Genomic DNA, 12,899 nt, shown 5'->3' on the forward strand with positions numbered 1-12,899 from the left:
ACAAGTTTTTATTTGATTTAAATTATTCTTTAACTTAAAAGAAAAATAATTACTGCTTTTCTAAAAACCTGGCTAATTGAGGTAGGTCTACTTGTTAGATCTCATTGAAGTATAGATTGGTCCTGCCTATACTTATTAGAAGAAAAGCCACAGAGTTTTGTGTAATGCAAAAAATATGTAAAGGGAGTCCTAAAGTTTGTCTCCATCTCAACCGTAAGCATATAAAAATCAATCTTAAAAATCCCTGTTTTTTCAGAAAGAAGCATTATACCGGTGTTTTCTCTCTTACAACCTGAGTTAGTCAAATCAAAGTCAGGTGATTTATGTACATCAAAATAAAGTACATAAAAACAACTGAAAGAATTTACAATGAAATTATTATATGCACAACTACCTAAGATGATAAAATTAGGCTGGGCGAGATGGCTCACACCTGTTATCCCAGCACTTTAGGAGGCCGAGGCAGGTGGATCACCTGAGGTCAGAAATTCGAGACTAGCCTGACCAGCGTGGTGAAATCTCGTTTCTACTAAAAATACAAAAATTAGCCTGGCATGGTGGTGGGCCCCTGTAATCCCAGCTACTCGGGATGCTGAGGTGGAGAATCGCTTGACCCAGGAAGCAGAGGTTGTGGTGAGCCAAAGTTGCACCACTGCACTCCAGCCTGGGCGACAGAGTGAGACTCTGTCTCCCCCCCAAAAACAAACAAACAAACAAACAAACAAACAAACAAAAAACTTATACTTATTACTCCCTTCTTAAATTCTTCTAGCTGGTATTTTCTAGCTAGACCACCTACTTGTAGACCCCTTTTGGGGAGCTCAAACATAACCTTTTCTTTTGTTTGTTTAACCATCCTTAGGGTACATTTATAACAACAAAATCAATATTTTTTTTTTTGAGATGGAGTTTCGCTCTTGTTGTCCAGGACAGAATGCAATGGCGCAATCTTGGCTCACTGCAACCTCCACCTCCCGAGTTCAAGCAATTCTCCTGCCTCAGCCTCCCAAGTAGGTGGGATTATAGGCACCCGCCATCATGCCCTGCTAATTTTGTGTTTTTAGTAAAGATGGGGTTTCACCATGATGGTCAGGATGCTCTCAAACTCCTCAAAATCAGTATTGTTAACTGACTCACTAACTGGAAGGAGATGAAGGAAATTGCAAGCATATCTTTGGAGAGAAAACTAAAATGTAAACATCAGCCCATTCTGATTGCCAATCATAGCAAATTATTAATGTAGGGCTAAATTATTTGGCACTACAATGCCCTTTATTCATTCTATTTGAATATTAGTAACATAATCACTAGCCAAATAAGACTTACCTGTGTTTTCTTTTTTTTGGAGACAGTCTCGCTTTGTCGCCCAGGCTGGAGTGCAATGGTGCAATCTTGGCTCACTTGCAACCTCCGCCTCCTGGGTTCAAGCGATTCCCACCTCAGCCTCTCAAGTAGCTGGGATTACAGGCATGTGCCAACATGCCCAGCTAATTTTTGTATTTTTAGTAGAGACAGGGTCTCACCATGTTGGCCAGGCTGGTCTCAAACTCCTAACCTCAACACACCTGCCTCGGCCTTGCAAAGTGCTGGGATTACAGGTGGTGAGCCACCGCGCCCAGCCTTATTTATGTTTCCTTAATGCATTTACCTTATTCAGTCCTATATCAGTTATTCATATGTATTTCACTTATCCTTGCCTTGCAAACTCTATCCCTACTACAAATATAAACACCAATATAATGTCTGAGAACAATTAAGTACTGATCATTTACTCATATTTAATTATCCTGTTGCATCTAGCACCATGGTTTTCAGAGAAGATACTTAAGTGGCTGAAATAAAAAATATATGATTCAAGACTCCATCCTATCAAGTTTTATTTTAAAAAATTTTTTATGTTTTTTAACTTTTTAATTATTTGGCATGCAAAGTTTTGTTTATAGCACCAATAAATATCTAAAATTATCCTTTTGTGTTTATCTCCCTTGCACTAGAATCTAAGTCACAAGTCCCTGTCTTATTCATAACCCTTTTCCCAATGCCTACAACAGCAGCCAGCACACAATACTTACTGAATGGATTATATAAAATTTGCCTGTGTGTACTTTAAAGTACTAACTCAGAATACTGCCTACTACCTTCAAAGAAAAAAAAAGGCACAAACAATTGCATTTTTCATCCCTGGAAATTCAAGTCAAAAGACAGAACGACAACAAATAAATGAAATATTTGTTTCCCCCATACTTGCTGTCACCTTTTGTTGCCACTAGACAGCATTCTTTCATCTGCTAGCAAAATACTAGAAAAGAAAAAGGCTTAAACATTGCAGAGTACGCAAGTAAAATAATGAAGATACCCTTTGATTAGTACAATGGTTAAGAATTTAAGCAGCAGGGCAACCCATTTATTGAAGCATTTTTCTCTTTGCTTCAATGATCAGATTAAGATGCTGACTTTCAAACCCTCAACAACATAACCTGAATCATTAAGAGCGAATGATTAAAAGCTTAATCTGACCACGCTTTGACAAAAATTATAAAATAGTCAAGTAAAGTGAAAAGTAAATCGTACGTGTTCAATAAATGCATTTAACTATAATATCTTTTAATCCTGCTTAACTGCTATCCTTTAGTATGTTGTCATACACACTTATTCCTCCCAAACAGAAGCACAGAACAGGGCTCTGGTTCTGATACTGCCTGTGCTTGAAAACATCATCACTCATGACCTTGGGCAAATTTTAATTAATTAACATCTGTGTATGGGCTCTTCAAACTGTAAAATGACCAAATAAGCAACTATCACATGGCTATCCTGGGAATTAAATAATAGTACATGTATGCTCTCCCAAAGCCCTAGGGCTCATTCACATTTGAGGGGTGCCCACTCATTGAATTTACGGGAAAAAAAAAAGGGTATATGTCAAAAACCTAGAATAGTTCCTGCACATGGTCAGCTCTCAAAAGTTTAGTAGTCTTGTATTCATCTCCCTAAAATGACATACAGCAAGTTTCAAGAACAGTGACTATAATGTAAGAAAACTAGGGACTGGCTAAAAAAAAAAAAAAGATGAGTCATCACAGCTGGCAGATTCTTCACTTGTCTGACAAATATAAGGAGGATCTAAAATTTACTGAGTTCCTTAGGTGCTAGGCACTGTGGCAGACTGCTGCAGTTACTGAACTGAATCACACCTTTCTGATCCCTTCCCACATTAACTCTGGATTTACTCATGTGACTTCCTTTGGCCAGTGTAACACTAACAAACATACAGCACGCTGAGGCTTGTACTTTCTTGCACTTTGGGGCTTGCTCTCTCTCGCTGCTGGGATCTTTCTACCATCTTGTGAACAAGTTAGGGCTAGTCGCCTGTAGAATAATAGGTCACATGGAAGTGGACTTTAGCTACCTCAGTCTGAGGCCCCAGACATGTAAGGCTATCCTAGATTCTAGGACCTAGACAATCTAGTCCTAGCCAGGTCAGCCCAGACTCTAAGAACATTGCAGCCAACCACAGAATTGTAAGAGTAATGTTTACTGATTTAGGCCACTAACTTTTAGGGGTGGTTTGTTATACAGCAAAGGTAACTACTACAACCACCATATAAATATAGCTATTTTTTTCCAGTTTTACAGATTAGGAAAGAAGATTCCCAAAACTAGCAAGTCAGTTTGGCCCCAAAGACTCTTTCTACTATATCAAGCCATCTTTGCATGCCATTCTCTGAGGTTTTAGGCTCTGGTGGTTTTATCCTACAACCCTTATTTAACCCTTTCCTTTGTACCAGGAGACAGTATACTATGGTCCATGGCCAAATCCAGCTCATCACCTTTGCAAGCTAAGAATGGTTTAAACACGGCCGGGCGCGGTGGCTCACGCCTGTAATCCCAGCACTTTGGGAGGCCGAGGCGGGCGGATCACGAGGTCAGGAGATCGAGACCATCCTGGCTAACACGGTGAAACCCCGTCTCTACTAAAAAATACAAAAAATTAGCCGGGCGTGGTAGCGGGCGCCTGTAGTCCCAGCTACTCGGGAGGCTGAGGCAGGAGAATGGCGTGAATCCGGGAGGCGGAGCTTGCAGTGAGCAGAGATCGCGCCACTGCACTCCAGCCTGGGCGACAGAGCGAGACTCCGTCTCAAAAAAAAAAAAAAAAAAAAAAAAAAAGAATGGTTTAAACACTTATTACCTGAAAAACAAACCAAGAGAACAGTAGCTATAAAAATATAAAATACTTAGGAATAAATTTAACCAAAGAGGTGAAAGACTTGTACACTGAAAACTACTAAAACACTGATGAAAGAAATTGAAGACACAAATGGAAACATATTCTGTGTTCATGAATTCGAAGAGTTAATATTGTTAAAATGTCCATCCTACCCAAAACAACTTACAGACTCAATGCAATCCCTATCAAAATTCCAAAATTGGCTGGACGTAGTGGCTCAAGCCTGTAATCCCAGCACTTTGGGAGGCTGAGACAGGAGGATCACGTGAGCCCAGGAGTTTGAGACCAGCCTGGGCAACGCAGGGAGACCCTGTTTCTACAAAAAAAAAAAATTAAAAATTAGCCAGGTGTGGTGGCATAAGCCTAAAGTCCCAGCCACTGGGGAGGATAACCTGAGCCCAGAAGTTCGAGGTTACAGAGAGCTACTACATTCTAGCCTGGGCAACAGAGTGTGACCCTGTCTAAACACACACACACACACGCGCACACACACACACACACACACACACACACACACACAAAATCCAACATTATTTTTCATAAAAATAGAAAAATAATCCTAAAATTCATATGGTTAAAACATTTTAAATGGTTCAAAATAAAAATCAGAAGACTATTTTGTGATATGTAAAATAATATGCAACAAATTTTAGTGTTCCTTAATATTTTTGGAATACAGCCATATTCATTCATTTATCTATTATATATGACTACTTTTGCATTATAATAGCAGAGTTGGATAGTTGTGACAAAGACCATATGGACCACAAAGCCTATGATATTTACTATTTGAACCTTTGTGTTTTTAAAATGTGCCAACTCCTGCTCGGAATTATTTAGAGAATATGTTTTTAATTTTAAAAGATTTTGCTCAGCCTTTAATGATGAGTAGTTTTGTATTTTTTCATACTTTTACTACTCTTTTCATTTTATTTAAAATTATTTTACACGTGTTATTTCTCTTAATTCTTCAACTTTTTCTTTTTTTTTTTTTTTGGAGGGGAAGAGGGGCTTTCCAGCAAAAACTGGAAAGCCTGCTAGACAATTCTAAAAGAGCTGTAACGCTTCTCTCCTTTATCTTTGGATGACCTCTGAATTTGTCTAAGAAAGACAATCCCAATTTTTAAACTAATTCTGATGCATACGTCAAATGAATTCCACTTGTATTCAATAAATACTACAAGCCTCCTAGGCAGCATGGAAAACAAATGACAGTTTTACCTTGTCCTCAAAATTATTTCAAGTTTATCTATGAGAAAAGTTTTTTATTAAAAACTGGGATCTTGGCTGGGCGCAGTGGCTCACGCCTGTAATCCCAACACTTTGGGAGGCCGAGGTGGGCGGATCACGAGGTCAAGAGATCGAGACCATCCTGGCTAACATGGTGAAAAACACCGTCTCTACTAAAAATACAAAAATTAGCAGGGCGTGGTGGCGTGTGCCTGTAGTCCCAGCTACTTGGGAGGCTGAGGCAGGAGAATCACTTGAACCCAGGAGACGGGGGTTGCAGTGAGCCGAGATCGTGCCACTGCACTACAGCCTGGCGACAGAGCAAGACTCTGTCTCAAAAAAAAAAAAAAAAAAAAGAAAAGAAAACTTTGATCTTATATGGCCCAATAGGAATGGATCATGATGGAGGCAGAAAAAGATGTAGGAGAGATTATTTTATCCAGAAGAGCCTCTAATTCCTCAGATCTGAAACTGTAGTAACCATGTAGATATGAAATCCCCAATGGGGATTTAAGGTCAGAAGTAGCTATACAGTCTCACCTCTTTCATGTGATGAGCCTATTATAATATTTGCCTGCCACTGATAACTAAGAACTTCAGAACCATTACTATTCTACTTCACCACCCTGCTGCTAATCAATTCTGAAAGACACAAAATAAAGCCAACGCTGAATATCCTTTCACATTAGAAAGGAGGTGAATCTCAGTTTACTTGCCACTCCCCATTTTAATCATCTTTCTTAAATAAGATCTCCACAGTAATGACCGTAAGTCCTGGTGGAGACTCAGCTGACTGCATATGGCATCAGTGTAAAGAATAAAGAAAATGCCATAAAAACTAACCACTCTCACCCCCAGCATTTACCAAGGACTTTCTTATGAGGCATTAGACAGATGCTCCTGATAGCCACTACAATTTGGAAGCCCTTAGAACACTGAAGAAATTTGTATGGTAAGTCTAAACTTCATTGAACTATTTTGTGAAGCATAAAGCAGTTGAGTCCATGCAGAAACATTTACAACATAGCTTTATATGCTATTTGAATTAAATGTTTAGAAACAGAGTCATTTTCCATTTTCATTTGTTTTTGTGACTATGTATGAATTTTTAGCGTATAAAAAAAGGGTTTCCCAGAAATGACTTCCCAATTTATACTATTATGCATAAGGGTTCTAAATGTTAACTGTTCAACTTGCAATGACAATCCAGGAGCCAATTAGGTTGGATGGTCTCTGGTACATACAGCAAACCTAACGATATGTACCTAAAAAAGATAGTTCTACTCTAACTTAGATTCCAGAGAAAGAACAGTTATCCCTACCTGTGTAACAAACCTGCACATCCTGCACACGTACCTCAGAACTTAAAAAAAAATTAAAAATAATTTTTAAAAAAGAACAGTTATCCCAAATAACAATTTTAAGAAATTAAAAATTGTATCATCAGCCGGGCATGGTGGCTCACACCTGTAATCCCAGCACTTTGGGAGGCTGAAGTGGGTGTATCACCTGAGGTCAGGAGTTCAAGACCAGCCTGGCCAACATGGTGAAACCCCATCTCTACTAAAAATACGAAAATTGGCTGGACACGGTGGCGCATGCCTGTAATCCCAGCTATTTGGGAGGCTGAGGCACGAGAATGGCTTGAACCCAGGAGGTAGAGGTTTGCAGTGAGCCGATATCCAGACTGGGTGACAGAGCGAGACTAGTCTTAAAAAAAAAAAAAAAGTATCAACATATTAGGGTCATCAGGGTTTACTGAAAACAATGCTGAGATGTTGCTTAAGACTTTTTTGTCCTGGAACTAGCAATTTTTATCTTACGAATTCAGTAGTATATACAGAAGGAGCAGGATTGAGAAAAAAAAAAGGTAGTGTAAGCTGACCAAATGAAAGCTTTCTTTCTGAAAAAGAACTACAATAAATTTAATGTGTTGCTAAAAATCTATACTATCTTTGAGCCGAAATAAGAAGTCCCCCTCCTGTAATCCTTTCTGCTAATCTATATTTTTTTCTTCATATTTCTACTCAACCCTTTCTCAAAAACTTCTACTTGATTAATCCCACATGTACCCAATCACTGGCATCCAAGCATGCATATTTAAATCAAAATAACTGTATTTGTTTCTCGCTTGAATCTTTTATGTTCATCTTACCGCATCAATATATTTAGCAGCTCTCTTTTGTCCTGAACATTAATGCATTTTATGATTCATTAACAGCACTTAATTTAGGCTAGCAATATAAAAGTACCCAAAGATAAAAAATCAATTTTCTCATTTTTAATTCTAATATACCCTGAGTACTTAACACTCTGTATCATAGGTTTGTGTGCAAATTTTCTCTCTCTTTTTTGAGATAGTGTCTCGCTCTGTCACCCAGGCTGCAGTGCAGTGGCACAATCTTGGCTCACTGCAACCTCTGCTTCCTGGGCTCTAGCAATCTTCCCACCTCAGTCTCCCAAGTACCTGGCACTACAGGCACGCACTACCAAGCCCAGCTAATTTTTGTATTGTTTTTATAGAGGCGGGGTTTTGTCATGTTGCTCAGGCTGGTCTTGAACTCCTGAGCCCAAGACATCCACCCACCTTGGCCTCCCAAAGTGCTAGGATTACAGGCATGAGTCATTGCACCCAGCTAATTTTCTTTTACTTCATCTAAATTGCTTAAAGCATTCTACCAATGCAACATAGGAAGTCCACAGGAATATACTTTAATGGCTGAATAGTTAAGAGCCCTAATTGGTTTATTACCACTTGATGCCTAAATTGATATCAGCTTATAAGATTAAAAATAACTAAGGCCAGGTGTGGTGGCTCGTGCCTGTAATCCCAGAACTTTGAGAGGCCAAGGCAGGAGGACCACCTGAGGTCAGGAGTTCGAGACCAGCCTGACCAACATGGTGAAACCTCGTCTCTACTAATACAAAAATTAGCCGGGCATGGTGGCAGGCACCTGTAATCCCAGCTACTCAGGAGGCTGAGGCAGGAGAATCACTTGAACCCAGGAGGCGGAGTTGCAGTGAGCCAAAATCGCGCCACTCCAGCCTGGGCGACAGAGCGGGACTCTGTCTCAAAAAATAATAATTATATAATTTTCATTTTACAAGGCAGTTCTAAAAACAATACTGAACCATAGTCTCATGCTCACTTTGGCAGCACATATATTGAACAATAATCTGTTATGTTTCTTGACTTGATAACATTTTATACATTTTAAATCCAAATACTATGGGGATAATATTTGGGGAAACCTAGCTATAAATGAAACTGATGCAAATCCAATTCGGCCATTTTACTGATTTAACCTATATTAGGGAAAAGGTCTGTTAGTCAAAGCTGAAAGAAAAGGCAGCTTATTATCTTCAAAGAGAGAACTCACACCAGGCTAGCAAAAGAAGCTTTATCCGTCCTCAGAAAAAGGCAATATTACAAGTAAGCTTTTTAGGAACAGTTTAACCAGTTCATGTAAAACCGATCAGAAACAGCACACGTGGCTAGGTGTGGTGGCTCACACTTATAATCCCAGCACTTTCAGGAGGCTGAGGCAGATCGCACAAGGCCGGTTGAAGACTAGCCTGAGAAACATAGGGAGACTATCTATAAACAATTTTTAAAATTAGCCAGGTGTGGTGGCACATGCCTATAGTCCCAGCTACTCGGGAGGCTGAAGCAGAAGGATTGCTTGAGCCTAGAAGTTCAAAGCTGCAGTGAGCTATGATCGCTGCATTCCAGACTAGGTGACAGAGTGAGACTGTCTCTCAAAAGAGGGGAAAAAGAAGACAAAAAGGCACACATCTGTGTGTTCTGATACGAGAAGACATCCAAACCATTACTAAGTGAAAAAGCTGCTTGCTAATTTTTTATGTTAGTATAGTATAGAAAAAACGGTTGAGAAATATGCACTAAATTTCTGATAGTGGTTATCTCTCAATGGAATATTTGGAAAATGAACTCCAGGCTTTCATCTTTTGCATTTTTCTCTGATACATGAATCTTTTACTTTAATAGAAAAAAAAACAGATTTTAAAAAATTTATAAACTTTACTTCTGATGAGTGGAGCAAATCACATTTGAAAGTTCTGGGTCACTCATTATGATTATGAGGACTGAAATGAAAGCATCTAGCCCACTGCCTAGCATACAGGAAAAGCTCAATAAATGTTAGTGTACTTCCAGTTCTGCAATGTGTTCTAATGCAACCAAGTTTTATACCAACCCGCCAGTAGAGTTTTTTAACTGCTGCTTATTCCAGCTTCTCCTTTGCTATTAGGTCCCACTTTTGCTGCTGTCAGTATACCCACCTTTAGAAGTACCTTCTACCACATATTGCTTCAAATCTGCCACAAACTCTTTCAGCTCCCAGAACATCTTAACTGTGCCTCTTTTATAGCAACTTATTCTCTTTCAGTTATTCATAAACCTTTATTAGCTCCTTCAAACTTTGAGTGTCTACACAGAAAAATACTTGTATTCATTTTTGTATCCCCCATCAGAGCCCTACTATGACAGTCACTCAAATATCTGTACGCACAAATAGACATAAGCTATCCCTGTGACCAAAAAAAAAAGGTCAGGCCGGGCATAGTGGCTCACGCCTGTAATCCCAGCACTTTGGGAGGCCGAGGCTGGCACTGCTTGAGCCCAGGAGTTTGAGACCAGCCTGGGCGACATGGCGATACCCCATCTCCACAAAAGATACAAAAATTATCCAGGTGTGGTGGAATGGGCCTGTAGTCCCAGCTACTTCGGAGGCTGAGGTGGGAGAATTGCCTGAGCCCGGGAAATGGAAATTGCAGCGACCTGAGATCCCACCACTGCACTCCAGCCTGGGCAACAGGGCAAGACCCTGTCTCAAAAACAAATGAACAAACAAAAAGTTCAAAGAGGATCCCAAAACAACTTGGGACAGTTTAACACTAATGTTTTAATTTTAATATAGGACTTAGGTCAATAGGCTCTTGAATAGTTTTTATAGTCTAGTCAGAGGTAAAGCACATGGATGAACACTGTGGCAGTTACTTTCCTATCCAGTTTTAGATTTTCAGCTTACTTTTATGTCTAAAGTTGTATTCCAAAGAATTTGAACTATTAAGTAGTCTGTACGCTAGCTAAATAGAAGATTATGTACTACAATATTACAGAGGTTCCTTAAGGGTAGTGCTGACTCTCCAAGTAGTCAAAATTTTAGAATCTCTGCCACTTCTCTGTAGCAAGTATCTTTTCTCTTGCACACACTCAACTTTCTCCCAGACGGAATTAGTATGTATTCCATAGCCATTACTGTGGTTGCAAAATGTAGACTTTCACAGACCCGGAAGATATCTACGTTTTGACAGATACATAGATTCCTTCCAGACCCAAAGAACGATAGGTAGAACTGGTGAAGTAGAAGAGGTTAAAGGTGGAAATTATGCAGAAAAACAGCTACCTATCCACAAATTAACCATTTTGATATCTACTTCAAAGACTACATCAACATGCCAATTCTTATTTAAAAAGAGATGCTTGTAAAAAGGTCCGAAAATGGCTAGGTACAGTGGCTCATGCCTGTAAATCCCAGCACCCTGAGAGACCGATGCTGGTAGATCACTTGAGGCCAGGAGTTCAAGACCATCTTGGCCAACGTAGCGAAATCCCATCTCTGCTAAAAACATAAAAATTAGCCAGGCATGGTTGCAGGCGCCTGTAGTCCCAGCTACTTAGGAGGCTGAGGCACAATAATCGCTTAAACCCAGGATATGGAGGTTGTGGTGAGCTGTGATTACACCACTGCACTCTACCCTGGGCAACAGAGTGGGACCCTAGCTCAAAAAAAAAAAAAAAAAAAAAAAAAAAAGTCTGAAAATGGGTTGCCCAAAGCCCACTTTAATTTTAAAAATTACCAAATTTATGATTATAGTTTGACTCAATTTTTCAGATTCTCTCAAACTCTAATTCTATCTTTGGACTGAATGATGACTACACAATGAGTCCAAAATGTTCCTTTGTTGTATGATTTCCACATCTTTTTTCCTGATTTAATTCTCCAGTTCCAGGGGAGGGGACAGAAGATGGGTGAATCATCCAAGTATTTGAGTTCCAGTTCACCATTCTTCCAGCGTTTCGTTAAACAATGATTGTGTTTGCTCAAAAAAAAAAGACAATGAGAACAAGGCACAGTGGCCCATGCCTGTAGTCCAAGCTACTCAGGAGGCTAAGGTGGGAGGGAGGATCCCTTGAGCCCAAGAGGCCATCTGGGCAACATAGTGAAGTAAAAAAAAAAGGAAATAATACTTAGATGCCTTAAAATCTGTTTGCATGGCGTTCTTAGAAGACCACATAGGCCGGGCGTGGTGGCTCATGCCTGTAATCCCAGCACTTTGGGAGGCTGAGGCGGGCGGATCACGAGGTCAGGAGATCGAGATCATCCTGGCTAACATGGTGAAACCCTGTCTCTACTAAAAATACAAAAAATTAGCCGGGCGTGGTGGCGGGTGCCTGTAGTCCCAGTTACTCGGGAGGCTGGGGCAGGAGAATGGTGTGAACCCGGGAGATGGAGCTTGCAGTGAGCTGAGATCGTGCCACTGCACTCCAGCCTGGGCGACAGAGCTAGACTCCGTCTCAAAGAAAAAAAAAAAGACCACATAAAAATGTGGGATGATCATCTTAAAAAACAAACAAAAAACTATGTCTGTCCACTATATAGAAATTGTTAACTTTTGGAGTTTCCTTCCAGTTACAATAGGGGAATTTGATTCCAAGTTGTAATGGCAAAGATAGCTATTGCAGCCCTTACATCACCACTGGCATGTCTCAAAAAGTGAAATAAAATCAGCGGGGCACAATGGCTCATGCCTGTAATCCCAGCACTTTGGAAGGCTAAGGCGGACAGATCACATGGGGCCAGGAGTTCAAGACCAGCCTGGGCAACATAATGAAACTGTCTCTACTGAAAATACAAAAATTAGCTGGGCATGGTGGCACGCACGCCCGTATTCCCAGCTACTTGGGAGGCTGGGGCATGAGAATGGCTTGAGCCTGGGAGTCGGAAGTCGCAGGGAGCCAAGATTGCACCACTGCACTCCAGCCTGGGTGACAGACTGAGACTCTGTCTCAAAAAAAATAAAATAAAGTGCATGTTCCCCAATGAAGACACTGAAATATTAATAAGACATCTACATGAATGGCAACATTCTATAATATAGCTTTTTAAAAAAATCAGATTTATTACATCATTTCATCCTGAGAAGCAACCCTATAAGGCGGGGGGTTCATTTAATACGTGAAAAAAGACTAAAGCTCACAGAGTTTAAACTACTTGTTCAAAGCCATACAGCTAATCATAAATGGCAGAACCCAAAACCAAGAGCACAGTGAAAGAAATGATTTTGTAAATCAGTCCTCCTTGAATCTAAATCCTGTCTACTACCTGTGTTAAGACTGGAAGGAAAGCTCCATGAC

General features: G+C 40.0%; 1 protein-coding gene and 1 pseudogene across 7 annotated transcripts in view, besides 1 other annotated feature; both read right to left on the reverse strand.

Annotated features, from left to right (window-relative positions):
- BAZ1A (bromodomain adjacent to zinc finger domain 1A) overlaps positions 1–12,899 on the reverse strand; it is a 122,630-nt gene that overhangs the window by 87,335 nt on the left and 22,396 nt on the right. The window lies entirely within an intron of this gene.
- Positions 3,511–4,011: an enhancer, noted in NCBI's record as "H3K4me1 hESC enhancer chr14:35312782-35313282 (GRCh37/hg19 assembly coordinates)". NCBI's record gives its function as "activates a minimal SCP1, AML or CMV promoter by ChIP-STARR-seq in naive H9 embryonic stem cells {active_cell/tissue: H9 hESC(naive)}" and the evidence as "EXISTENCE:reporter gene assay evidence [ECO:0000049][PMID:30033119]".
- On the reverse strand, positions 5,236–5,295 carry RNU7-41P (RNA, U7 small nuclear 41 pseudogene; annotated as a pseudogene).

This window comes from Homo sapiens, chromosome 14, assembly GCF_000001405.40.
Source record: "Homo sapiens chromosome 14, GRCh38.p14 Primary Assembly".
In the NCBI taxonomy this organism is placed as follows: Eukaryota; Metazoa; Chordata; class Mammalia; order Primates; family Hominidae; genus Homo; species Homo sapiens.